At 47.7% G+C, this 26,428-nt stretch overlaps 2 protein-coding genes across 2 annotated transcripts in view, besides 4 other annotated features; one reads left to right on the top strand and one right to left on the bottom strand.

Annotated features, from left to right (window-relative positions):
• Positions 1-8,278, top strand: part of SLIT1 (slit guidance ligand 1) — a 187,922-nt gene extending 179,644 nt beyond the window's left edge. The window contains exons 33-37 of the mRNA NM_003061.3: positions 1,493-1,623; positions 2,094-2,248; positions 3,324-3,612; positions 3,947-4,158; positions 4,966-8,278. Of these exons, the coding sequence (NP_003052.2) occupies positions 1,493-1,623; positions 2,094-2,248; positions 3,324-3,612; positions 3,947-4,158; positions 4,966-5,204 (1,026 nt within the window). The 3' untranslated portion in view covers positions 5,205-8,278. The remainder of the gene's footprint in view (positions 1-1,492; positions 1,624-2,093; positions 2,249-3,323; positions 3,613-3,946; positions 4,159-4,965) is intronic.
• Positions 3,683-4,371: an enhancer, noted in NCBI's record as "H3K4me1 hESC enhancer chr10:98761702-98762390 (GRCh37/hg19 assembly coordinates)". NCBI's record gives its function as "activates a minimal SCP1, AML or CMV promoter by ChIP-STARR-seq in primed H9 embryonic stem cells {active_cell/tissue: H9 hESC(primed)}" and the evidence as "EXISTENCE:reporter gene assay evidence [ECO:0000049][PMID:30033119]".
• The window catches only part of LCOR (ligand dependent nuclear receptor corepressor), a 163,659-nt gene continuing 147,590 nt past the window's right edge, over positions 10,360-26,428 (bottom strand). Inside the window, exon 8 of the mRNA NM_001346516.2 lies at positions 10,360-25,523. Within this exon, the coding sequence (NP_001333445.1) occupies positions 21,182-25,523 (4,342 nt within the window). The 3' untranslated portion in view covers positions 10,360-21,181. The remainder of the gene's footprint in view (positions 25,524-26,428) is intronic.
• Positions 21,071-21,570: an enhancer, noted in NCBI's record as "H3K27ac hESC enhancer chr10:98744503-98745002 (GRCh37/hg19 assembly coordinates)". NCBI's record gives its function as "activates a minimal SCP1, AML or CMV promoter by ChIP-STARR-seq in primed H9 embryonic stem cells {active_cell/tissue: H9 hESC(primed)}" and the evidence as "EXISTENCE:reporter gene assay evidence [ECO:0000049][PMID:30033119]".
• Positions 21,375-21,504: an enhancer, noted in NCBI's record as "active region_3843". NCBI's record gives its function as "activates an Ori minimal core promoter by ATAC-STARR-seq in GM12878 lymphoblastoid cells {active_cell/tissue: GM12878}" and the evidence as "EXISTENCE:reporter gene assay evidence [ECO:0000049][PMID:35858748]".
• Positions 21,571-22,072: an enhancer, noted in NCBI's record as "H3K27ac hESC enhancer chr10:98744001-98744502 (GRCh37/hg19 assembly coordinates)". NCBI's record gives its function as "activates a minimal SCP1, AML or CMV promoter by ChIP-STARR-seq in primed H9 embryonic stem cells {active_cell/tissue: H9 hESC(primed)}" and the evidence as "EXISTENCE:reporter gene assay evidence [ECO:0000049][PMID:30033119]".

Below are 26,428 nucleotides of genomic sequence, written 5' to 3'. Positions count from 1 at the left end.
AAGCACAATTAGAAAGGTTATAGTGTCACAAAACCAGGGCAGGGGTGGACATGGTCTCATGGGTAACTGAATCCAGAAAACCAGGCTTGCCATCATCCCTTCCCACCATTTCTTGTCCCAGCTACTCCTCAGTGTCTGCCTCCAGTGCTGCAGACAGGCTTTCTATGTGTGCCTGGAATGTGGCCAGATTTAACTTTGGGCTTATACCTTTAACCAAATGTCCCTAGGGTCCCTTAACTCATCCTTTTCATGCCTTCAGTTCCATCTCAGAACATCTTCATGTTGAGGGGAAAATAAAGCAATTCCCACTTCAGCAGCATTGATGAAATATATCAATATTTTGCTAAACACTTCTTTTGGGGGATGGAGAGGAGAGTGGTTTATATTGCACAGCACATGATAAAGAATGTTAAACTCCTCTGTAGTCATCTTTCTCTTTCCCCCGAATTCCATTCCCTGTCACAAATGCCACATCTTTCTTCCCTCTCTTTTGTCCTCTTTTCCTTTTTTCTCAGAACTCTTCAGCCTCTCAAACATGCGCATTCTGCTCTCTTCCCCTACGTCACCTCTCCAACATCCTATCCACTTACATAGTCTACATGGCAAGACAACAGCTAGCCTAACCGCCAAAAATAAAATTCACCAAAACCCTAACCAGCCATTGCCTCGGGCACATCCTTGGTTTATCCTCATCTTTTACCAGACATTGATTTACAAAGGCTCTTCCTTGCCAGCTCTAATTCGGTCAGCTCAAGGAAGATCTCTGATTGGCCTGGCGTTAGTCACATGCCCATCTCTGAACCAGCTGCTGAGTCCAAGGAGATGGGGCAGTGTGACTGGACAGCTTGGGTCATATGCCCAGCTCCACAGACCAGGGGGCTCAGGGTCTTTACCAGAAGAAACGGAGGGAGCAGGACAAGGCAGGGAAAAATGATCATGGCTCCTACAGCATCTTAGAGGGATCTCCCTCCTGAGGCAAAGATCTCACTTTTGCTTGCACAGTTCCAGCGACAGACACTACCTTCTGAGTGGCTCCTTCCACTAGGCTTGGATGACTCTGGCTGTCAGAGAGCCTTCCTGAACTTGTCCTCTCTGTAGTTCCCACCCTGAGCAGTTAGCTCCCCAAGGCCCACAGGGCAAGGCTACCCACACCCAGCAGACAGGGGTCCCAGTCTAATTTTCCTCTCTGGGAAGATTGTCCTGAGGTCTCCTGGCTGCTCTTCCTGGCACAGAGTTTCCAGGCCTCAGGGACCCATCACCCTCCCCTGCCTGGACCTGGCCAGGCTGGCAGTGGATGGGGCTTGAACCAGAGGCTGCAGCCCCTATTGGTGCCCCCTGGAGGAATGGCCTTGGGGAGGCTGGCCAGGTGGGGGAAGAGCGCTCTGCACAGAGCATCTCTCTTCCAATCTTGGGTGCCCTCTCTGCCCCATCTGCTAGCCTGTGCCGCTGCTGCATGGGGTGGGGTGGGAGAGAAAGTGCCACTGCCCATCAGGTCTCCACGGCAGAGGACAATGGGATCCTTCTGTACAACGGGGACAACGACCACATTGCAGTTGAGCTGTACCAGGGCCATGTGCGTGTCAGCTACGACCCAGGCAGCTACCCCAGCTCTGCCATCTACAGGTAGGGCTTCCTTATGCCCCCCAGCTGCCCTCAGGGGTACGGGACTGCCAGGGCGAGGTCTCCTGGGCCAAAAGCAGGTGGTTATCGAGACCTCTAGAAACCTGGGCTGCCTGAGTTTGAAGGACACTTGAACCATCTGGGTTAGCCCCAGCTTGGGGCTGAGGTCTCTGAGGCCTGTGCAGTGGCCCCATCCTTCCCCATCCCACCACCACCTTAGAGGAGGCTCCTTAATGGGGAGGGGGAGACTTGTAAGTTTGAGACCCCTGCCTCAAACCTCTCAGCCTTCCCCAGGGAGTCAAAGAAGGGGAGTGAAAGGGATCATGCGATAGACCCTTGAGCCCCCACAGTCCTTTTCCTTAGATATTTGGTCTCCTGGGAAGCAGCTACTGGTGTTTCTGGGGAAGTGCCCAGGCAGGGATGGTCCAGACTGATGCCCACTCCCTGGAACGGGGAACCCCCTCTTCCTCCAGTGCTGAGACGATCAACGATGGGCAATTCCACACCGTTGAGCTGGTTGCCTTTGACCAGATGGTGAATCTCTCCATTGATGGCGGGAGCCCCATGACCATGGACAACTTTGGCAAACATTACACGCTCAACAGCGAGGCGCCACTCTATGTGGGAGGTGAGGACCTGGCCCTGGCGGGGCCTCTTTTGCTGTCTGGCCTGAGGCCAGCCAGGAGAGCTGGTGCCTAGGGACTGCACTGTGGGAAATGCCAAGTGGGAAGATGATCCTGGTGGTGGCCAAGCTGCAGGTGGACTGGCCTCGCTGCCTGGAGCCCAGCTGCTCTCTGCCTAGCCCAGACTGACCAAGGAGGATGGATGCTTGGGTTGGGTGCAAGGTCTGGCTTAGGGGAGGCCCTGGGACTGTCCGAGCTATCTGCAACACCTTGGGCACATTTCCTCTTGGTTTTGGGCTAGAAGGGGCTTTTCAATGGCTTCAGGTCCATTCCCAGTCTTGGGGCCCTCTGAGACCCAGAACCACTGCAAGAGACTCAGGCACAGAGTCCCTGTATCAACCAGGGACTGCCTCGGCTGGCCTTAGAGGCTTTGCAGGCTAGATGACCCCGTCTACCACCTGCAAGCATTTCTCGGTATTGATGAGCAGGCTGCTGGATGCAGTGGGGCCATCTCCACCCTGTGGGAGGCGTGCTGAGGCTGGGGCAGAGGTGAGGGATGGCCCTGGGCCTCAGCCCAGCTCCGCAGCTTACTCCTTGTGCAGCTTCAGGCCAGTCATGAGCATCTGTCAAATGGGGCTTAGCAAGCCCTACTTCAGAGGGCTGCTGAGAAGGGACAGCCACAAAAGCAGTGACCTAGCGCCACACGTGATGTCTCGGTCCTGCCCCTTTGCTACGGCTGGGGTCTCTGGGAGGTAAAAGCTAGCGTCCCAGGGAGAGAAGGCGCCTTGGCGAGGGAAGCCAGACTTTAGGAACAGGCACCTCAGAGCCACACGCAGCAGCTGGCCACCACCAGGCCTGATGCCCCAGCTCCAATCACAGAGGAAGCAGCTTTTCCCTTTCTTCTGGGCAAGGAGCCTGGGCCCTCCAAGGTGGCAAAGGACCTTGGATCAGGGTTGCAGAGATGAAGGACAGAGGCCGCAGGCAAGAGGGAAGGCCATGGAGCTGCCCAGACCTCAGGGGTGGGTGCCCGGCATAGCCCGAGCTTTACTCAGCCCAGCTCTGCTCCCTCCCCTACCCCAGGGATGCCCGTGGATGTCAACTCAGCTGCCTTCCGCCTGTGGCAGATCCTCAACGGCACCGGCTTCCACGGTTGCATCCGAAACCTGTACATCAACAACGAGCTGCAGGACTTCACCAAGACGCAGATGAAGCCAGGCGTGGTGCCAGGCTGCGAACCCTGCCGCAAGCTCTACTGCCTGCATGGCATCTGCCAGCCCAATGCCACCCCAGGGCCCATGTGCCACTGCGAGGCTGGCTGGGTGGGCCTGCACTGTGACCAGCCCGCTGACGGCCCCTGCCATGGCCACAAGTGAGCCTGGGGCACTGGGGGAGCCCTTGCCCCTGCCTACCTGTTCCTTCCCCATGGGAAGGGCTGCCTCACAGTTTTCCAACCCATATTAGAACATGTAGCCTAAGCCAGGGTTTTATTACTTTTATCTGGCTTTCACTTTTTATTAATAGGACAAGGCCTATAGGGACACACACATAGTCGCATGCAACTCCCTTTGTTTCAGTTTTGGGAACAGATTAAAGACCTGTGAAGTCAGGGCTGGGTGGGGTGGGCTGTGTCAGGTGGGGCGGGCTGTGTCAGGTGGGGCTTGGCTGGGTTTGTCCTCACAGCGCCTTTTCTCTGTCTCCTCCAGGTGTGTCCATGGGCAATGCGTGCCCCTCGACGCTCTTTCCTACAGCTGCCAGTGCCAGGATGGGTACTCGGGGGCACTGTGCAACCAGGCCGGGGCCCTGGCAGAGCCCTGCAGAGGCCTGCAGTGCCTGCATGGCCACTGCCAGGCCTCAGGCACCAAGGGGGCACACTGTGTGTGTGACCCCGGCTTTTCGGGCGAGCTGTGTGAGCAAGGTCAGGGGCCCCCCTCCTGACGTGCCCTCCCCAGGGTCCCCCACAAATTGCTTTAGCAATTTGACTCTTCCTCCCAGTCTCGGCAGCCCTTCTGTCCCTTCCCAGCCCTGTACCATGGGCTACTATGGGGCTTTCAGAGTCCCTCCACCCTCTGGGCACTGCTCCCAATCTCTCCTGGCCCAGTTTGCCCTGCAGCTCCCTTATTCAGGGTATGCGCCTCTTCTGGCTGGGGTCTCTCCTTGCAGAAGAGACCACCCAGGGTAACAGCTCCTGGCCCAACCTCTGCCTCTTGGCCCCATCACCTCATGACCTGGGAGCGGCAGCAGGAAGTCCGAGGGTTGGGGACTCCTTCCCAGGCCCTCCCTGGCCTGCTTGACCAAGATGGCTTCTGCTGGAATCCGGACTGCTAAGGCTGGGCAGGGAGAAGCTGGAGAAACCCAGAACTCAGGCACCTTAAGGGTCCCCTAGGCTATCCCCTCCCCAGCATGAATCCTTTTCATAATGTTATTGCCCCCGGGGCCTCCAGCCTCTCTTGCACGCCTCTAGCAATGGGGACCCCCCCTCCCTCCAGCAGTTCAGTCTGTCCTGGAGGGCCCTGACGCTAGGACCAGACTGTAGGCCCTGGGAGGAAGCTTGTGCATGTCAGTGGGAGGCGGAAGTATGCTGGGGACAGAGGTGGGGTCTGAGAGCCAAAGGATCCACCCCACAGATGCTGCCCTCCTCCTCCTCTTCCTCCTGCCTCCCTGGAGGCAGCAGCTCACCCATGGGTGTGCCCTGAGGCTTTCTCTTGGTGTCTGTCCCATCCAGAGTCCGAGTGCCGGGGGGACCCTGTCCGGGACTTTCACCAGGTCCAGAGGGGCTATGCCATCTGCCAGACCACGCGCCCCCTGTCATGGGTGGAGTGCCGGGGCTCGTGCCCAGGCCAGGGCTGCTGCCAGGGCCTTCGGCTGAAGCGGAGGAAGTTCACCTTTGAGTGCAGCGATGGGACCTCTTTTGCCGAGGAGGTGGAAAAGCCCACCAAGTGTGGCTGTGCCCTCTGCGCATAGCGCTGGGCGTGGACAGGCCGGTGAGGGCGGGCAAGGGGCCCCAGCCGCTGCAGCAGCGGAGACAGTCGCCAGCAGCTGGGCTGGGGTGCAGGTCATCACAGGACGGCTCCTGGGCAGCTGGGCCCTCCTGGGTGGGGTGGTGCCAGAGCAGCCTTTTAAAAGCAAATTGCGCCATAGCTGGGGGCAGCGGGGGTGGGCGAGGCCTGAGCTGCGGGCTGCCCTCTCCGGAAGTGCCTTGCACAAATAGGCGCTTAATAAATATTTGTTGAGTGAATGTGTGCGTGAGGTCAGGCCAAGAAGTGCAGAACGATGACACCCCTCCTTACCTGCTATCTGAATCTGGAGAAGAAAAATGACAGCCTTCCAAACCAACCCTTCCCTTTGGCCTGTGGCCCAGGCTGGCTTGGAACTGGGTCTGTGGCCCCAGAAGCCTCTTACCCCTCTGCGGGCAACCATGAAGTACTGTCAGCCTCCCCGGGAAGCCAGCCTGGTTCATTCTGCTGCTACAGAATCTGCTGGTGGTAGGCCAGGCTCTGGAGCGGGGGTGCCGCCTCCTGCTGGCCAGGGAGGGTCGGACCCTTGCCCCCTGGGCTGACTGGCAGCTCTGCAGCCACGGCTTGGGAACGAGGCTGTGGGTGGAGGTGGTTCTTAGGACCAGGCCTCTGAATCCTAAAGTTCTAGCATGACTACTGTAGCTGCGAGGGCTTATGTGGAGGAAACAGTCACAGGGGCTGCTCAGGGTGGCAGACCCCACTAAAGAGGGCAGAGGGTTCTTTGCTCTAGATAAACAAACATCATCTGCCTCCAGACACTGGCCACAGTAGGAGTATTGGTCCTGGGCTTCCCCAGCCACCAGTCAGCCACAAGCTGTCGGTGACCTATTGGTAGAGGGACTGGGTGTGAGGGTCTGGGCCAGGGTGCTTGACCTGGGAGCAGCTGGTTCAGAGTCCTTCACACCGCAGGCCAGTAGGGAGCAGTGGAAGGGACAGTGCTCCAGGCATTGGGAAGTCCCTGCTGGCTCTATCACTCGGGGCAAACTTCTCCCCACCTGGGCCTTGGGTTCTTCAGCTATAAAATGGCCAGAGGTGGGGGGCGGGATGACTAAAGGAACAGTGCAGACTCCCCCACTGTGGTCTTGGGAGGCCAGAGGAGTTAGAAGACCTATCTATCTATCTATCTATCTACATTGATCACATCAAAAGTATTTATGTGCCTAACCCGGGGCTGGGGATTGTGGACGTTCTGGCCTAATGGACAGATGTGAACTCATCCCAGAGCATCGCAGGAATGACCAGGATGCCCGGGAAGAGTTGAGCTGAGTGGGGGCTCCAGCCACAGACAGCGGCCCAGGCCAGGGAGTTGCTGGCAACGAAGGAGCCAGTGGTGGAAGAAGAAGAGGCCCTGAATATACGATTGCCTGCCCACGTTGTCTTCTCTTCCATACACAGTGAAAATGTAGAAAGATGGTTTGTGAGGCCAAACTGTGAATGGGCTAAAGGGAGGCAAAGTTGCACTCTCCTTCCCCAGAGGGCTCACCAAGAGGGCACACCCCCGGGGGTTCTGGTGGGCAACGGGGGTGAGCATGTCCCTGCCCTGGCTCCCTCCATCTGTGACCAGGAGGCATGGCTGGGTGTATGTTCAGGTGAGGCTCAGAGTGGCATTGTGTCCCTGTCCCCTGCCCAGGGCAGTGAGGGGAGCCCTTGATGCTGATTAGAAGGCTAGAACTGGGGTAGAGGTGCCTGGCATGTCTCATGCCATGGGGACTCAATCTAGCAACTGTGAGTCCTGGGGTCCCTGTGATGGGAAGAGGGCAGTGCCCTGCCCAATGTGGCAGGTGTCCTCATGGCAGGATCTGCCCCTCACCAGGGGGCTGGGATCTACTTGCTTGGAGCTCTGAGCAAGGCCACAATGCCCGCCCCCACCCCCAAGTAGACTGCAGCCTGGGCCTCATGGGGCTTCTCCCAGGCCCACATGGCATCCCTCTCTGAGTTTCCAGGCCACCGTGGGACCCTGCAGAGCATCTGCACCGGGCTGGATAGGGCAGAAAAGCTCAAGGGCAGCTAGCTTGCCTCTTCCCTGGAAGAAAGGTGCTCTGGGACTCACCAACCCTGAGAAAGATAGCTTTCCTGGCCACCACCATTCCCCACCACCCTGGAGAAGCCAATTCCCAGGCTTGAAGGGCACTGGCTGGCAGGAGGCCTCTTCATTCTGCAGGAGGTGGAAAGGACACCTGTAGACAGGTGATGCTCACCCCTCACCTGGCGCCATGGGGCTGGGAGGTGAGCGGCTGGCATGTTTGTTCCTAGGGAGCACCATGTGAGCTTAAGGCTCCCCTGACCGGCCCCACCACATGGCCCAGCCTCCTAGCACAGCAGCGCTGACCTCAGTGCAGTCTGAGGATTGGAATCCACCATGAGATGATGTGAGAGCTGTGTGCCCCAGGATCAACTTTTTCTCCAACTTGGCCATCAGCCAGCGAGTTGCTAAGGACCTGAGTCAGCACTCACGTTGCCTATTCACACTCCGCTTGAAAGTCCGGAAGGTGGCTACTGCAAAATCACCCCTCTGAGAAGTCCTCTCTCCACATCTTGTCCCCCTTTGTGAAGACCCCTAGTTCGCTCTGCATTTTAGGCATGAAGAGATACAGCAGGGTGCGTCCGGAGGGAGCTGTGGCCTTGCAACACCACTGGCAACAGGGCCGGGGCTCCCGGTGAAGGTGTCAGGAAGTGGAAAAGGCTGGACTTTGTCTCCTCTTTGCCTGCTGGTAGCCTAACCGCAAAAGTATCTCTTTATACAGAATACTTACAGATTCTAATATATATTTGTATTTCATTTTGTTACAGTATTTTTATATGTTAAAGTCAACATCCAGCGTCTTGTTTTGCCTTTCAGATGCTATGTGGTCGTGGCACGTTTTGTTGGGGGTTTCTGTAGTCGTCTTGTTTGGATCAACTCCTAGAGGCTGGTTTAGAACAGGCCCATGAGGGAGCTGCACCTGCCCTGGAAGTATTGTTTTAGACTATGTCGATATTGTCTGTTGTCTTCCATGTGAACATGACATTGAGTCACTCTGCCTTGTTGGTCTCTTTTTCTCCACCAAGGGCGGGCCGGGTGCTGCTGGCATTCTCTCCTAGGGCTTCTGGGCTGATCGCATATGGGCCATCATCCAGGGATGGCTCCAAGGGGCTACACACGTAGGATGTCTGTCCCTGGAACTCCCTGCTTTTCCTGAAGTCCATTCCTCCTGAAGGAGGGGGTCCTGGGAGAGGGCTGGGGGACACCCCCCCGGGGTCTGTCAGTGCACGGCCGAGCTGGGGAGGCTGCTCATCCTCATCTCCCTTCAAGTAATTGCCGTGACATGGACATTCTGTAAGTTTGTGCACAGAGCCACACCCATCTTTAATTTGGCTCTAAGGGTTTCGGAGCCATCGGGGCAATCTATATAGTGTGACTTCTCAGATGCCCTGTGAGGTTCACTTTCCTGTCCCCAGCACAGTGGCTCTTAGAAATTGGTGGAGAAAGCAGGCACACACACATACGTCTGCAGTGGCTCCATCACCATTCAGATGAGAACACTGCAAGCACGATTTTATAGGACTCACTCACTCAGGATGGATGTCTGGGTAAGGCCAGGCCTGGGCAGGCAGGCTGGGCAGGGTCACTGACACTAAAGGGAAGCCTGAGCCGGGACCATGAGCCAGCGCCATGGACAGGTTTCTGTGGAAAATTGGGCCAGGGCAATGGTCACACAAGCCACACCTTAACAGCACATGGGTCATCTTGAAAGTGGCCACTTGATATAACTTCAGTGCCTTCAAAAAAGTCAGGGATTTTGGAGGAAATGTAACGAACAGTGTGCAGGAGAGAAAATGCGTTCCAATGGGGTTGGATGCTCCCGTCTCACAAGGTCAGTTGGTTACCTGTCAGTCACCTGGCTGTCACTTCTGATAAGGCTGCACGTACACAGACCCATTCCCCTGCCGTGAAGAAACAGTGACAAATGGGAACTGACAGTCAGGGGCTGTGGTGACCTGAAAGGCACGTTTTCCAATCTCATGCCAGCTGACTCTTACCGTGAGTTAATTCTGTCAAATCTTCATCTTTTTAATTTTTTTACAAAAGTCAGAACTCTCAATCTTTATGTAAAAAAAAGCTCACGAAGTATTTTTTTAAACACTAGGCTAAAGAAAACACATCTGTAGGCCACCAGTTTGCTATTTCTGAGTTAAAGTAAAATCAGTGGCAAATTTCACTGCTAAAGGGAAATCCCCAGCCAAGGGAATGGGCACAGCCGGGCTTGGTTGGGAGGGTGGAGGCCAAAAAGCAGTGCCCAGACTTCCAATGGGCGACATCCTGATTACTAGAGCTGCCAAGTTTTCCTGAGATTGGTGATGACACATCTCTAGACACATCTCTATCATCCCTAAGCCCAAAGCCCTCAGAGTTAATTTTTGAGATGTCCCCTCACCCCAAGGCAGCCAGTCTGCACCTCTTGGGTCAGTATTTTCATTACTCCACTACAGGATGACTACTGGAGGAAAAGAGGTCTATCTTAACAATGAAAACAACTAATCTGGAATGAGGTAATCTTCCAACTTCAGATTCAGAGGGGTGGCCTGGCAGTCAGCTGTGGGGTTATTTTTGCTGGATGTGGTTCTGCACAGTGATGGCACAGTCAGATGAGCCGCTTGTGGGCCCTTACGCTGACCCACTTCAAGCAGAGTTGAAAGAATATAATGAAAAACTCATGAGGCTAGCAAATCGAAGGACTTTTTCTGCCATACTCCAACAAGGGCATTGAGAGCTGGGGCAGCCCTGGCCTGTGGCCTGCACACTTCCCAGTGGCTAGCCTGAGGTCAGGAGTTTGCCCTCCATTGCTCCCTGCCCCTCAGGATGAAATGCTGGCACCTTTCCAACCCTGCCATGGGAATCTCAAGGATTCCTCCATTGCCTTTTCTTTTCCCTGAAGTTAGGCAGAACTCACAAAATGATTTATTACTTACATTAGCAAACAAGGTTTCTCTAAGCCCTGACACTTGGTGGAAGTATTGCTTTGTGGTTCCTTCTGGCAACTCATCAATTTTGCCTTAGGCTGCAAGTTGAATGCCCGGCTTCAAGGCGTTCTGTGCCCTCTTCAGTGACTACACAGACACACTTGAATATCAAAGAAGTTTAATACGCTGCCATAAAATAAGCGCCTTGAAAAAGCTCATGGAATAGAAGTCAGTGTTAGAGAAACCCCTCCCACACATCCTCTGGCTCCACACCGCATCCTTCAAAACCAAACAAGAGAATCTGAAACAACACAGGACATCCTTCCAAGCTTGGATTTCAGTGAGGGCCCCTCTACCAATAACAAGAACACAGTTTCCTACATGGCCTGATAGGAAAGCAAAACACAGAAGCACAAGAAGTCTACAAGATTTCAATATTTAAGAGACTTGGTACATATTCAAAGTTAAAATAACTCCAACTTTTATAGCTATACATATTGTTTTAAAGCAACTTAATATATTTTAAAATTTTATATATACACTCTCAAAGGTTCTTCAGGTGAGGTATGTAAACATTGTCTAATGAAAAATTTCAATGTTTCAAACCAACAAATTCACAGCATACATTGAATTTTCATCCATTAAAGACACAGTATATTCCTACACTCACTAACATAGTAGAAATCCAGGCCCAAGAGCTACAGACTGATCTTCCGGGTGGCCACTTGCAGAATTTCTCATTTCACTGCTTCGGGAAAGACACTGTCACACAGGCCAGGAGCACACGCTTGGTACCAGGAGGGCGCTAGGCCCTCTGGAGGCCCTGTCCTTGGGCAGCTGGATCACTGGCTAAGACTCACAAGACAGCAAAAAGAGCACAACTGAACAACTACGAGATCGACCTCAGCAATGACAACACTGGGAGGAACCAGAAAGACCTTTAAAGGAACGGTAGAGATTCATTTTAGAGCTCCCTGAATCCACAGCCGGATCAGCAGCCCCTGCCCTAAACTCATTCAGAAAGGTTGCGGCCTAATAAGAATAAAAATCCAACGTGGCACCTGAGCTTCAGTTAAATTGCATGGGCCTCCTATGGCCCCCTGGCCCCTCAAAGGCATTCATGCTAGCCTCAATTAGGGCCCTGGGCTGTGCTTTTCATACAGGTTGGGGTTGAATTTCTTAGTATCATAATGCATATGAGGAAATAATGCCATGAGTTTACAAAGATGACCAATGCCTGCACACAGCATTGGCCAATGACCTTGGAGGAGCTCAATTTTGAAAACTACTTGTTCCCTGAGGGTAAACAGCAGGCTTCTATTGAGATTAAGTGAGGCTAATATGGGGATTTTTCATACAAGGTAATAAGACTTGGGGAGCCTCAGGCCAGAATTCTATTGTACCCCCACATAATCTACAATGCCCCATTCCCCCCACCCCCTACCACCACAAGAAGTAGTCGCCTCCCCAATGATACAATACAGGTCAATTTCTTCCCTCTTGCTTGCCTTCAGGCTCAGCAAGGGAAAGTTTTATCCTAATGCACCCACTTCAGTCTAAAAATACACTAGTGAAAAATTCCAAACACCATCATAAATACAAAAGAGAAGACATATTCCAAAAGCCTAAAAAACTACATTACTTCTATTAATGGTTATCTGGGTGTGGGGTATTTATTTTCACAAAGTTTAGGACGGTCAAAAAGAGAGGCTGCTTAACAGCTTTAGAAATCTGCTGAACTGGACACGCTGGGAGAAATGGAGGAGTGACTGCCCTCTTTATACTGACCTACATGGTGTAATCCCAGACACGAAGGCAGCTTTAGACATTTCAAGCCCAGGCACAGAAGAGGCTGATATGAAATGGGCTAGGTTTTAAAGGTAGGTCAAATATAGCCAAAGGACATTGAACTGGCCACTTAAATTTCTGTTGTAACAAGTCTTACATTTACTCTATAGCCAAATGAGCTTTGCCTCAACTAGATTCTGGAAACCCTATAAATTCATGAAAAATTGCAAAATTTTCCATCTATGTGCCCAATTTTGATGTGTCTGGTGCTGGCAGATTTCTCATCCATTGCTAGAGTTCTATGACATGAAGGAGCGTGCAGACAAACAGAAGCAAAAATTCAAGTACAGCAACCTCTCCAGCAAAGGCAAGAGGTCTTAGCAAGAGCTGTTCTACCCCCACCCTATCCTCTGAGACAAGGGCCAATGTGGGCCCTGGAATAAATGTTATTACCTAGGATCTTATTGCTTATGGGCAACACATCAGAAAGAACATCTGGAAATCTGCTCTGCAGATCTGAGTACTGACCACTGACCAGTTTATCATACACCTGTATATATATATATATAATATATATATATAATATAACATAACCAGATGAGAAGAGGGGGCAGTTAAAGCTCAGATTTGATGTAACATTACAGATCAAAGGCCCCAAACAGCTCTCAACCTGCTGGTTTTTGTTCTTTCTCCATGTGTGAACTGTGTTATGAAAGGAAGTCCACTGCTCAAAATATATTCTATAATACTACAATGCAAACCAACATCACTCAGAACATGAATTTGTATACAGCACAAGTAATAAATATTTTTAGAAAACTATTTACAACATTACTTCTTGTGAACATTTAGACGAGAGCAAAATTTATTTCTTCCTGCAAAGTTAAAAAAGTTTTGACTGTCTAGTTCAGTGCTAAATTCCCTGGCACCTAGTTTCTCATTCACATTTCATCTTAAAATCAGATTTGCTTACAAAGTCTCCTAGAAAAAACATTCTCCAGCATTACTGTTCAAGTGTCTGCCTCATTTGTTTAGAAAAGACAAAGGGAGGCCGTAAGAAAATATGCAAATTATGGTTCAAATGGATGACAAAACCCCTGCGTGCCTAGTCCCAAAGCTCCCTGCTGTCCTGGAGTTGCAATTCTCAGTCCAGCCAGCCCTGCACAATGAGGATCATGACTAACATGGGGGTGCCGAAGGACAGGGCACAGAGAAGAGGAACATGATCATAAAGCACTGGTTCCATCCCATCTAGGGGTGCTCTGAATTGTAGGACAGGACTCCTGAGAAGTAAAGCTGACCACATCTTAGAACAGATGGTATCATTCTGTAACCACTGGTTACAGGGGGACTGGCCCACATCTGCACAGATGCACACTGAGACAGGGAGAGAGGGGAGAAGGAGGAAGAGGAAAGCCAGGTGCTCACGAGCAAAGTCAAGGTGCAGAAGGTAACATGCTTATCTCCCATGATTAATTAGAGTGTGAATAGGTGTCTTTCACCAACATGAAAGGGGAACTGGAAATACACCTTAATGCTTTCTCTAGGCAACCAGTGGTTTCTCCATATCTCACAAGCATGGGTTTGGATTTCCTTGGGGCTACAACTAAGGCTCATTTTCCTGTACAGGCTGTTAAGTGTACAGCTGAATGTACCAACTGTGCATGCAAGAAGTAGGCTGCGTGGGGCACACCCGATGCCATACAGCTAAATGTACCAACTGTGCATGCAAGAAGTAGGCTGCATGGGGCACACCCGATGCCATGCCTGGCACAGCCATACCCATGATGGGATTCCCACTTTGTTGTGGGATGGGGTGACAGTGGGGGAGACGTGCTTCTGTTGCATCTGTCCAAATACAGTGAAGGTTTCAAGGCCACACCTTTCTGCTTTCACTGTTGTTTGGGGGCTCAATGGTTGAGCATGGTAGCTGGGGAGGATGGGTGGCTAGAAAGAACACTTTTTGGAAAGCCCTTTTGACAGTTAATTTTCTTGTTAAAATAAATACTTTCTATAGAAGTATCTGAACAGGAAAATATCACTATTTACACAGTGAAATAAATTCCACAGTGGTGTGTATAAATATTATATATATGTATTTGAAACCAGTTACTAACACAGTCTCCGAGAACTATTTAGAATGCAGAAACCACACTAGTGAAATCAATAACCTTAAGCTATAGTGACTCTAAAAATAATCCCTACCTGTGGTATAAATATAAAAAATTATGCAAATCTTGTTGGTATAGTCTCTTTCCCAAAAATTAGCTCCCAAATACCTCAGCTTTAGCTACAAGACAACTATGAGGTGCAGATCACAGAAAACTGGGGTTTAAAAAAAAGTGGATAAATTGAATAGCATTTAAACCCAACAACTAAATACTAGAGGAAAAGAGTTTTGAGAGAAAAATGCTTCCAATGTGACAAATTTGTGTTCAGGGCCACACTGGGGAAGTGGGGGACTGTCCCAGAGAATATGCCTCCTGGAAGGGGGCTGGCGGCATAAGCAGAGGCAGGAGGAGGGAGGGCAAGGTGCCAAGGATGGCTCCTCAGAACGAGCAGTGACTCGGGCTGGGCTGGAGAGCCCTGAACTTGTTCTGTCTAAAGCTGCCGGTGTCCTGACAAGATGCCACAGACATGCTGGTATTTTTAAGAGAATGTGTGGTCTGCACTCGAAAGTCAAACAGGCAAACACCAGGCATCTATGTTCTCATATCACGACCAGAGCTTGAAGAGTGAGAAACCTTCAAGTATATGATACAAAAGAGAAATGAAGGGTTCTAGGGGTAAAACCAACACATCGCATACTTTCAGGGAGAGGCACTATTCTTGGCTTTAAGTTCATGAGTAATTTGTTTGTGCTGAACTGCTGTTAATGGAATGTCTACCACAGTCAAGTTCACTCTGATTCATAAAAATGAAGACTGTACTTTTAAAGACTGCACTTTTAGTTTTCACTACATACCCTAATAGATATGATCACATGGCCCACAACTTATTAACAAGTAGACAACTGGCAAAGGGGGATAATTTTTCTTAACGCAAAAGCATTATTCAGGAATAATCTGTAACAGCAGCTGTGTACTGAGATGAACAGGCAAGACACTCTAAAATCTAAAAGAATTGCTGGACTGTATGAAAAAAATGTTGGAGCATATGAAAAAAAAAAGTTGTGCCTGTCTACACAATTTGATCTTTAATGACTACTATAAGGATCAGTAGAGCTTTTCCACAAAAGGGTCAGGAAGTAAATATTTCAGGCTATGCGGGCCACATATAGTTGCTTTTTTTTTTTTTTTTTTTTTTTACATAACCCTTTAAAAAAGGGTAAAAAATCCATTTGTCCAACCCCTGGCATATTGTAATACCATGAGTACCTGATTTTTTTTTAAATGGACAGTCTATGCTTTCATGAGGCATGCATATTGAGCACCCCGTGTGGGATGGTCCCAGCTAGGGGAGAAAGTATGTGTGTCTGTGCTCACCCGGCAGCATAACTACACAACTGCCCCTCTGAAGGATGGAGCAAAGGACATCTCCTGAGCACTGAGCATCAAGCACTGAGGCTCTGGGAAAAGGAAGATCAGACAGAGAGGAGGTAAGTGGAAGGAACTGAGCAGCTTCGGTTCAATCCCAAGGCAAAAGCCTGAGCAAGGACACACTCCACAAAGTGCTCAGGGTGGTTCCCCGGGCCCCAGGACGGCATGACACAGCACAGCACAGCAAAGCCCTGAGAGCTCTGAGTTTCTGCCTGAGTCTAATTATCTATAAAGGAAAGAGACTGGATCCTCAAGTCTTCCAATCCATCCATTGTAGAATACAGGACTCTGTTCTGATGTTTCAAAGGATGAATTATATTGAAGGCTGCCTCAAAAGACTTCCCAGTCTGGGCAACACAGTGAGACCTCATTTCTGCTAAAACTGGAAAAAAAAAAAAAATTAACTGGGTGTGGTGGCATGCACCTGTAGTCCCAGCTACTCAGGAGGCTGAGGTGTGAAAATCTCTTTGAGCCTGCAGTGGGCGTCATAAAAATGAAGATGACTATACTTTCAAAAAACTGTACTTTTAAACTACATACCCTAATAGATAAGACCATATGCCCATTGCACTCCAGCCTGGGGCGACAGAGTGAGACCCTGTCTGGGGGCTGGGCAGGGGGAGGGGAAGGCCCTCCCACAATTCTGCTCGTTTTAAATACAATAATCTTTTTATTTTTCCCCTGAAAAGGATTTGAGAGCAAGCATGGGGAATAGCACTTACTGCTAGGATATGAAGACCGCCTTACACAGATCAATTTTATACTTAAAAAAAATTCCAGTATTTCAGTGGATATCAAGTCACAATAAGACATCAAAGTAATACTAAGAATTCAAAATGATAATTGTTTCAAAACAACTAAAACGATCAGTGATTTGGGGCCACTGACAAAAATTTTTCACTGACAGGACATTGAATCACATTAAAAAAAAACCAGCATAGAAACTCATACTTGGGTTGGTGCGGTGGCTCACTTGTAATCCCAGCACTTTGGGAGGCTGAGGTGGGAGCACTGCTTGAGGCCAGGAGTTTCAGATCAGCCTCGGCAACATAGCGTAACCTCGTCTCTATTAAAAAAAAAAAAAAAAAAAAAAAATATATATATATATATATATATCCTTATCCTTGAGTTTTTGGAAAAGGAGGAAGACTATAATAGCTTTTCAGTCATACTCTGGTTATAACTCCAATTTTTTAAATCAATATTAAAGCACTTCAAAAGCCTCTATGTTTTATTTGTTGGCTTACCTTTAATAAAATTATTTTGAAAGTATGTGGCTGAAAAGGTATCAGTACCAAAATATTATATAAGAATAAACAAAGCTTTGGGATTGTGATCAGACTTTGTTTCTACTCTGTGAAAAAACATTTTCCATATCTAAATGTGACATTCAGAGGACTAAAAGTCCAACTAAAGTAGTCTCAACTAATTTTACCAGAAACAAAATCTTGGCTTACTTTAATAAACAAGAAATAAAGCCAGAGTCAGTTCTGTGTGAGTGAAATGAGAGGCCCAGGCCACATAATTTTAGAACTCTGAATCCCTATTTGCTCATGGGTTCCGGCTCGATACGGTAAGGTGGCCTCATTTTGGCTACTGTGATGGTTTTTTTTAAGAAGATGGAATGCTAAGGTTGCTCAAGTTTAAGGGGATAGTAGTGCATATCGATATAACATGTCTCCTTTGAAAAGAAAAAATGGAGACAAGGAAAATGAGAAGTAAAGAAGAACAGAGAGAAAAGGGCAGAAGAGAGAAGGAAAATCAAGAATATTTGTTCCTGAAAAGGATGACTTTCTCAAGCAGGGATCAGCAGATGTTTTCTGAAGGTCCAGATAGTATCTTAGGCTGTAAGGGCCACACGGGTCTCTGCCGCAGCTACTCAACTCTGCTCTTGCAGTGCGAAAGCAGCCGCAGACAGAACTTAAGAAAATGGGTGTGGCTATATTCCAAACACATTTTATTTACACAAACAAGCGACCAGCCCACAGTTGGCAGACCCTTGACAGATCATCTGGAATCCGAAAGGCAGTCTGCACAGAACTTGCTGATAGTAACACTACAGCATCTCCAGCTTGTATCACATAGCATGCTATATTTTCCTACTTGGCTCTTAGGTCCACTAATCAACAGGAATGCTGCCCATAAATGTGAATGACAGCTCCCACCCTCATGACCGAACCCATTACAAAGCAGGAAAAGAGGCCAAACCTCAATTCAAAGTAATTATCTTGAAGTGATGCCTTTTACTGATGACCTATCTGAACAGTGAGAAATTCACCTGCATAGTATGTGATGCATAGAGATCCCATTAGAAAGCACCACATATGTAAAGGGATGACTAAGGGCACCTCTTCTATCCATACGATTTTAGGAACAATACAGCAGGAGACTCACAGCCTAAGATTATCATTTTAGATAAGGCTGCACAGAAGTCTTTAACAAGGAATCCAAGGGGCTAGTGACTGGTGACTTACAGAAACTGACAGCATTCCTATGAAGGAAGCCTCAGGAGCAGAATAAAGGTTCACAACCTTCCTGCTGTGCTGCAAGATTGTTACCTGTCTGAGGAAGTGCTAGGGGTGAGGCTCAGGACCCCAAGTGAGGGAGTGGTCTCCTGCATGTCCATCTATAGCAGGGAGTCTCGTAGGATAGAAGATGGGTGTCCTGAAGAGGGCCCTCCTCTACGGGAGCTATGGCAGAGCTTCAGTGATTGCTTCCCAGGCATCTTCCAGCTTCTCCAGAAACTCAGAGAATACCAGTGTCCTTTGGTCATCAACTTCAGCCCCAAGACTGGAACAGTCATTTCACTGAGTGTACACCCAGGAGAATTCCTTTCTGATTTGGATCGGAATGTGGGATGGACTGCTTTTGCATCTGGTGTGGTAAGCCATTCTTGAAGATGGCTCTGGGAAGAAGGTTTTTGCAAGGTAGGGAAAACAATAGCAGACTTGAGTCAATACCACACCTGAGCTTGGAGGTATCTGGGAAACTGCTTTGCCAGTACCTGCTGTAGGTATCAAAGGGCCTTGCAGGATTAGCCCTCAAGTTTTGCTGTTTTCTTTCTTCTATTAACAAAATTAACTGAATCAGCAAAAATGAGATTCAACAAATATAAAAAATTCTAAACTTTTAAGTGTCATAATTATGTAGACTCTTGGTCTATTTAAATGTCCTTATTATAAAGTATAAGTTGATTTTAAAGATGATCCATTGCATTGTTAGGTATATAAAATACATACATACACATTAACACCTTTTCTCACACACAGCCTAGAATGGGAAAGAAGGCTATTATCTTTAACTGAGCTTTTAAAAATGAAAAAGAACTTAGAAAAGGAATGGAATGAATTACAAACTTGGAACTGGAAAAGTTCCACCCACTTACTACCTTACACCTCTCCCTAACCTAATCCAAGCACCTTACAAGGTAGTCGGTATGCAGCCAACGGGGCACCTCTTCTGTACAGGAATCAGCATGCCTGACATTGGCAAACATCAGCTGTTTAAGTCACCACAAACACAATATCCAGTGACAACTATATGAAAAGACATTTTTAAAACCTTAAAACCATTTTTTAAGATTAAATGAACCTATTCAAAACACATTAATGCCTCTGTGCAACTTAATGCTGAGAAAGGGTTGCCAACATACACACTCAGCAGTTTTATTAATGTAGGTAGCTCTTGAATGGCCAAAGTCAAAGATACTAAAAAGAAAAAGACTCATCAGATAGAGAAGACATGAAAAAAAATCAGGGCTTCATAAGACAGCAAGCTTCTCTAGCTATGAAATTCAACACAATTCTAAATTTCTCACAAATCAAATACTTTTCTCCAGTCTTATCCAATCATCAGAAGTTCCCATGATATACAGCAAACCTTTAACAGAATGGGTAGAAGGCCTGTATTATCATGATTTGCATGAAAAAAGTCCATCTGGGCTTATCTAAAGAGATCTGAAACAACCTAAATGGAAAATTTTCAAATAAAAAGGACAGGGCAGCAGCTGTCCATACAAGCTGATTTTGGTGACAGAACCGGTTAAGGAAGCTGACTGAGGCTTCAACAACCAAGCCTTTTTTTGTAGAGCGGCCCAATGGAAAAGTCAAGTACACGCTGCACTATAATAATGGAGCAAGGTCACAGGCACTAGGTTGAAGCCAATGCGCCTGTCTCAGGCTTCACCTGGGAAAGGCAAACAAAGTCATTAAAACATTGTGGCTCTCACTTCTGAGACACGGAATAGAGCCTGACATGACATGGCAGGAGTGATACTACAAGCATTTAACTACTAGGATGGTGTTAATCAATCAGAATGAACGTCTACTCCAACAAGTACATTCACATTGGAGCATACAGCTGAACATCAGCTCTGGGTGTAGGGGGTGTGTGGGCTCTTCACAGATGCTGGAGCTGCTTCCTCCAACTGCAAGGCTGCTCTAACCTTTACATAACTCCATGCTGTTTTAGATCTTTCTGAGTCTGGTACCAAAGTGGTATTGGGGATGCTCACAGAGACACTGGGCTACTTTTAAACCATCTGTCCTTTGCTAATTACTCAACTCAGGGACACCCAAGCACACTGCATAGGGAAAAAATTTTACTGTAAAATTGGGATTGGGAGACATTTGTGGCTGATAACCACATGCAAATGCACCCAAACACACATGGACATACATATTCTTAAACCTTTCTATTACTGGAAATAATAGTTCGGCTTTCTTTGAATATGGAAGTACTCTGGGTAAGAAAGAAAATAAGAGTCATTTTCATCCTAATCATCAAATTACAGCTACAAGATGGAAAAAAAAAATCCTAGGCTTTTTCCTCCCGAAGTAGGATGGAAGCCTTGCAGGAGTGCTAGCAAGACCAGAAATGAAGAAGATGGTGAGAATTAGTAATACAGTTTGGGGATGCAAATGATTTTTTAGAGTTTGTAAACAAAAATTAACACTTGTGACATATCTCTTGTCCCATGGGCACATAATTTAGAATACATGCTCTCAAATGACAAAACATCAAAGGTGAGAGGAGGGACCAACAATGAACATGATCTTTTTTAAAAGGGGGTAACAGAAATAGTAATCTTTTATAATTATAAATCCTCTGCATACCATAAAATGATTTGGTTTAGCTTTCAAACATCATCTAAACAAACAAACAAGACAGAGAGGGAAGTTCACTGCTGGGGTTTGCAAAGAAGGGCATCTGTTCGTGGGCAGATGCTGCAGGGTGGCTGCTGAAAAGCTCCTTTTATGTGCATGATGGTGGTCTTCTCGGCTACAGTACAAGTGCTTGTGCATCAAGTATAAAATACAAGCCTTTAATCACATAGATCAGCTTTTTAGCTTTTGTAAATTTAAAAACAAAAAGGATAAATAAGGCACTGTACTTTTAAAAACGAAAACTGCTTGGTTCCAAGTTTAAAACCCAAGGAACAACCAGAATATAATATATAACTTCCCTTAGCCTCAGAGAAGGACTCTGCAAGTTCCCTTCTCCATCTGAGATGCATTTTCTGACATCTCAAATTACGGTGTTCTCCATTAACTGTAAATTTGAAAGGCTTGATAAGCTTATAAAAGCAGATTTAGTTAATGCAAAATAAAAGGTTACTTCTATAGAACAGTTTTACTCTTGGCTACCATCTTTCCAATCACTTTGCATCCAGCCGCCTCCGTTTGCTGTGCGAACAGTCCAGCTTTGCCTTCAGCTTTCGCTTTCTCTGAGCTGCACTGCTCTCTGGGGTTTTCGTTGAGGGTCTGGCCCGAGTCTTTCCACTACTCTGCTTCCTATTCGTGGCTTTCTGAGGCCTTGAAGAGGATTCACCGGCCCCCTTCTGTTTTGCAGGTTTCGTCAGTGTTTCCGAGGCAATAGACTGGGAAGGCCTTTTGTTTGTATTCTCTTTTTCTTTCCTGGAGGGAGGGCAGCTCTTCCCAGCGGACTTTTTAGGGATCTTCACTTTATTCTCTTTCAAAGACGTCTTTTTGGGGGGTTGGCTGCTTCTGTCCCTTGCAGCTGGCCTCTTGGCAGCAGGGGTTTTGGTGGCTCCATCAGCATGCTTTTCTTTGCTGGCTTTCACCGTAGGCCCCTTGTTCTTACTATCTGGAGGGCTGCTGCCTTCTGTTCTCTTGCGTTTACTCTGAACTTCTGCTTTAGGCAAGATTTCAGACACCTGCTTCCCCTTCCTTCCCTTCATTCCTTCAGTACTCTTGGGCTTAACAGGAAACCCATCTGCATCCACTTGCAGGGCAAGCTTGGGGGACATCAGAGGGTTGATGCATACGCTCTTACGACTTGGCTTACTTTCCACAGCCAGAGCATCTGGGCATTCCATTTTCTCATTCTTGATTAAACGTTGCTGGGCTCTGAGCTTTCCTCGAATATTGGAATATTTTCTAAGAATCCGGGTACTGGCTGGAGTGGGCAGGTTTGCTGGAGGATGACTGTTTCTATCTTCCTTGACTTCCTCTATGCTGTCTTCAGAATTAGGGCCGGGGCTGACATCACTGCCATCTTCTGGCTCCACTTGATCAGGATTCTCTCGAAATTTGGCCCAGAGCTTCTGCATTTTCCAATTATTCTTAGCAGGGGTAGCTCCAGGAAATTTCTTCAAGTGCTTTTTCAAGCGCTCAGCCTGTAGTGAACTGGGATATAGGCTGGAAGGAGCGTATTTCTGAAGAGGATGCTTGACAGGGGGAACGTCTCCTGGAAGGCGAGTATTGAGCTTCTTCACAATGACTAGAGACCGGGTTTCAGTTGTCTCTAAGAACCATTTACAAACATTAGATAATTTAAAGTTTGTCATAAAGAGCATCTGAACAGGAGAACACTTCTGACTCTCCAATGAACTCCTACATTTCCGTGACCTTTTCTTGCTTTTCCAAATCTCTTTCAGTTTATCTGATTTGTTCCTTGCTCTTGGTGTTGGCTGTCCTTCTTTCTCCAACTGGATCCAGCCCTTCTGAACTTTCATGTACTGGGCATTGAAGTTGGCGATGAGCTCTTGGTTCTCCTCCTCAGCACACCATTCCATAAACTTTGGCTGTTCATCTACCACGGTGTCAACATCGTCCTCATCTAGGGGGTCTCCACTCTCTGAAGCTCCATTTTCCTTTGGCATTATGGGGTTTACTTGTGCAGCTTCCTTTTCTGAAGTCACTTTTGAAGCATCCAAGGAGCCCAGAGAATGAGCGTGTCTTAGGTTGTAGGTTGAAGAGGTCAATCTTTTAGGCCTTGGCACCGATTTTGGTGCCCTAGCAGCATCACCACTTCCACTACTCGACAACCCAAGAGAGCTGCATGGGGCATCACTCTCATCATCTTTCTGCTGGGTGTTTTCGTTGTCTACCTCATTCACAGCCTCCTCCACATGCTGTGTGGGAATATGCCCTGGCTCTTCTTTTGCCTGTTCTGGGTCCCTCTTACAAGCAATACTTTCTGAGGGGATATGAGCATTCTTCTCATCCATTTTAGACTGAACATAGATTTCCAATCTCTCTCCAGGCAGTGGCTGTCCAGCTGTGGTTATGGGGTCCCTGCTGGGGAAAATCTCTCCTCGTAACTCCTTGACTTCTTTGTCCAGCATGTTTTTCAAAGTCTGCCTGGTGATGATCCCCCCGCCTTCGCCCTCCTGCTCAGCATCTTTCTCAGAGGGGCGTTCATTGACACTTGGCTTTTCTGTGTCCTCCAGAGTTTCCGTGTGGAAACTGTCAGGTAGAAGGCCCTTAGGTGTTGTCCCACCAGGGTGCCCTTCTTTTTTTGAACGTTTTGCACTAGGATTTTTAGGAACTTTGATTTCAAGACAAGCTGAGGAAGAATCTGAACTCTGATTTCTTAGGCATCTGTCAGCAGAGGAAGAATCCGAAAGTTGACTTCTTAGGCACCTATCAGAGGCCTCAGGGAATTTTTTACCTTTTTTCTTCTTGTCCAAATTCTCTTCGAGTGAGTCAATGCTTGTATCATACGTGTCTTTTTCTGACAGGCATTTTACATCACCGTCCTCTCCCTCTAATTTTCCTATACCACCTGCTGCCTCACTTTCCTCAGTTTCACTGGGGTTTTCATCAGTAAAAGTGCTGCTTTCCTTCAAGAGTGGGTCGACATTTAGCTCCTGGGTGTCTCCAGACTCAACCTCAGCACTGATGCTTTGGTTGTCCTCAGCCTTTCCCAGACTCATGGGGGGCTCCAAGCCCATTGGGGAACTCTGATTTTCTGAGCACTGAGGACTTTCTTCTCTACTGACTATTTCAGGAGGAGAATGAGGCCTAGAAATGACATCTTCACTGACTCCCCCGGAAAAGCTTTCAGTGGAGGGAAGGAGGTGACAGTCCTGGGGTACACTCATCTCCTCCGTATCCAACAGTGCAACTGGTGGTTGGTTGTGTTCAGGAGAAGACATCCCACTTGCTGTGGGAGCTGAGACTGTGGAGCCACCTTCTGGCAGGTCCTCTTCAGGAAGGTGAGCAGGGAGAGGCCACACCAGGCTGGAGGCTGTCGTTTCCTCTGACCTAGGGGAGCTGCTCAGGTTCGGCTTAATCTTTGTGGGGCAAACCTCAGGCTCTTGAGGTTCTTTTCGAGGTGAAACGTCTCCACCTCCTTCCTCGTGAGAGGTGATTTCCTTGCTAGGTTCTTCAGGGTTGTCTTCTCTGGGAAGCTGCACATCTACTGTATGTCTAGGGGCTGGAATTGTAAGGGTCTGCTTAGGAGTGAAAACTGCCTCTGATGCCAATGCTGAGCAGCTTGCTTTTTCCTGGGAGTGTAAATTTCTGGCCAGTGTACGAACAGTTGGCAGCTCACAACAGTCACCATTGAAAAAGTATCCTCGAGTACTCTTTCTGGCTGTTTTCCGAGAAGATAATATTGATTTTTGATTCTCAAAGTGGCATTCTGTTATTGGTTGACTGATATAAACAACATCACACTGGTTATCATAATCATTTATCCTCAGCCCTGATGCCCTTTTACTTTTCCGAGCTGTCTTGATGGAGGTTGATATCATCTTGGTTCTTGAGTGTCCATTTGCCGCTTTGTGTACAGCTGGCATAGGGCCGGGGCCTAACCAACCATCTTTGGAATGATCAAACTGGCCCTTATCACTGGGATGTAAATGGTAACCCACCTTATTTCTTCCCAGAGAGTGAAGATGGTTCTCTTGCTTTGGCCTTGCATCTTGTTCATTTGCCTCTAAATCCTGGCGCAAAGGTGTTTTTGGACACTGTAAAGTATTCTCTTTGTCAGCAGTTCTAGATGAGTTCCCCATAAACCCTGAGTTCCAAGCCTCTTCTGATAAAGCTTTGAACAAATTTCTTTGAGGAATAATACAGGTATTGCCTTCCTCACTATTCTCAGCTGCCATTTTTACTGTAATTAGACTTTCTACTAAAGCTGAACTCTGCATATGGTCTTTACCATCCTCACATATGTTCACATTTGTGTCTTGCTCTTGTCCAGTGGTCTGCCCCTCCAAGATTTTAGGGATGTGGTGGAAGTTCACTGAGGAACAATTAGATGCAGTGAGGTATCCCGGAGTGAAACTATCCACTGAACTGCTATTAATAGAATTCGATTTAGTGGTTGGAAGTTCAGAGGAATCTTTCTGGACAACAGTCAAGGCATTCTCTCTTCCATCTACAGGGTTTATCTCAGGAGGAGGCTTCTTCGGGGTCTGTTCCGTCAAGTGTAGAGGGCTGTGAGAGTCTGACGAGTCTACGAACAAATCTACAGAAGCAGAAGACTTCATATCGAGACACAGAGCATCTTTTTCCTTATGTTTGGTGCTGAGCTGGGCACAGCCAGCATTGCAAGTGGATACATCCATTGCTCCCGAATCAGAAGGCTGCAGGTCCTCAGTGCCTGGTTGAGATTCAGTGTACAGGTCGTTCAGAACACGAATGAATTGCTTTTGATGATGAGTACACAGTTTGACCATAAATTTCTCCAGTGGGGACTTCGACTGATTGTTAGAATCTACTGCTTTTGCCTCTGTTGAGTTCTCACTAGACAGAGAAAGAGAAAGAAGGAATTAGTATTGTCATTTACCAAAGAACCATTTTTACATTATAAAATTCACCCAACGTTATTCATTTTATTATTTATTTATTTTTTGTAGATACAGGGTCTCGCTATGTTGGCCAGGCTGATCTCGAACTCCTGGCCTAAAGAGATCCTCCTGCCTCAGCCTCCCAAAGTGCTGGGATTACAGGTGTAAGCCACCTTGCCTGGCTATCTGTATTATAAAGAGGGTGGGTACTTTGGCGAAAACTGCTTCTAAGTCTGCTCATATACTTTTGATTCAATAAATGTGAATTATTTACCTAATTATAAGGTCAGCCTGTTATAGCCTCAAATTTTAGTGACGATATTCTTCATACGTTAAAAGTAATCATTCAAAAATCATTTTTATCTTAAAGAGAAGAAATACTGCAAATACATTTTTTTCAAAAAAGCTAAAATTTTGACCACACTATTAACTCTGGTTGGTCAACATATACTTTATTTTAGGTCTGGGTATTCCTGTTAAATAATCGTGGGTTTATAAGTCCACAACACTGACAAGAATTGAGGTGCACTACAGTACAAATCTTGGGTTTAGAAGTACTTAACAGAACTTACAGTTTTTTTTTTTTGTTTTGTTTTGTTTTTTAATGGAGACAGTCTTGCTCTGTCGCCCAGGCTGGAATGCAGTGGTGCGAGCTTGGCTCACTGCAACCTCTGCCTCCTGGGTTCAAGCAATTCTCCTACCTCAGCCTCCCAAGTAGCTGGAACTACAGGCGCACGCCGCCACGCCTGGCTAATTTTTTGTATTTTAGTAGAGACGGGGTTTCACCATGTTGCCCAGGCTGGTCTCGAACTCCTGAGCTCAGGCAATTCGCCTGCCTCAACCTCCCAAAGTGCTAGGATT

The sequence above is a fragment of the Homo sapiens genome, chromosome 10 (genome assembly GCF_000001405.40).
Source record: "Homo sapiens chromosome 10, GRCh38.p14 Primary Assembly".
NCBI lineage: Eukaryota > Metazoa > Chordata > Mammalia > Primates > Hominidae > Homo > Homo sapiens.
Note: the sequence above shows the minus strand (reverse complement) of the source record. Positions and strands in the feature narration are given on the sequence as shown.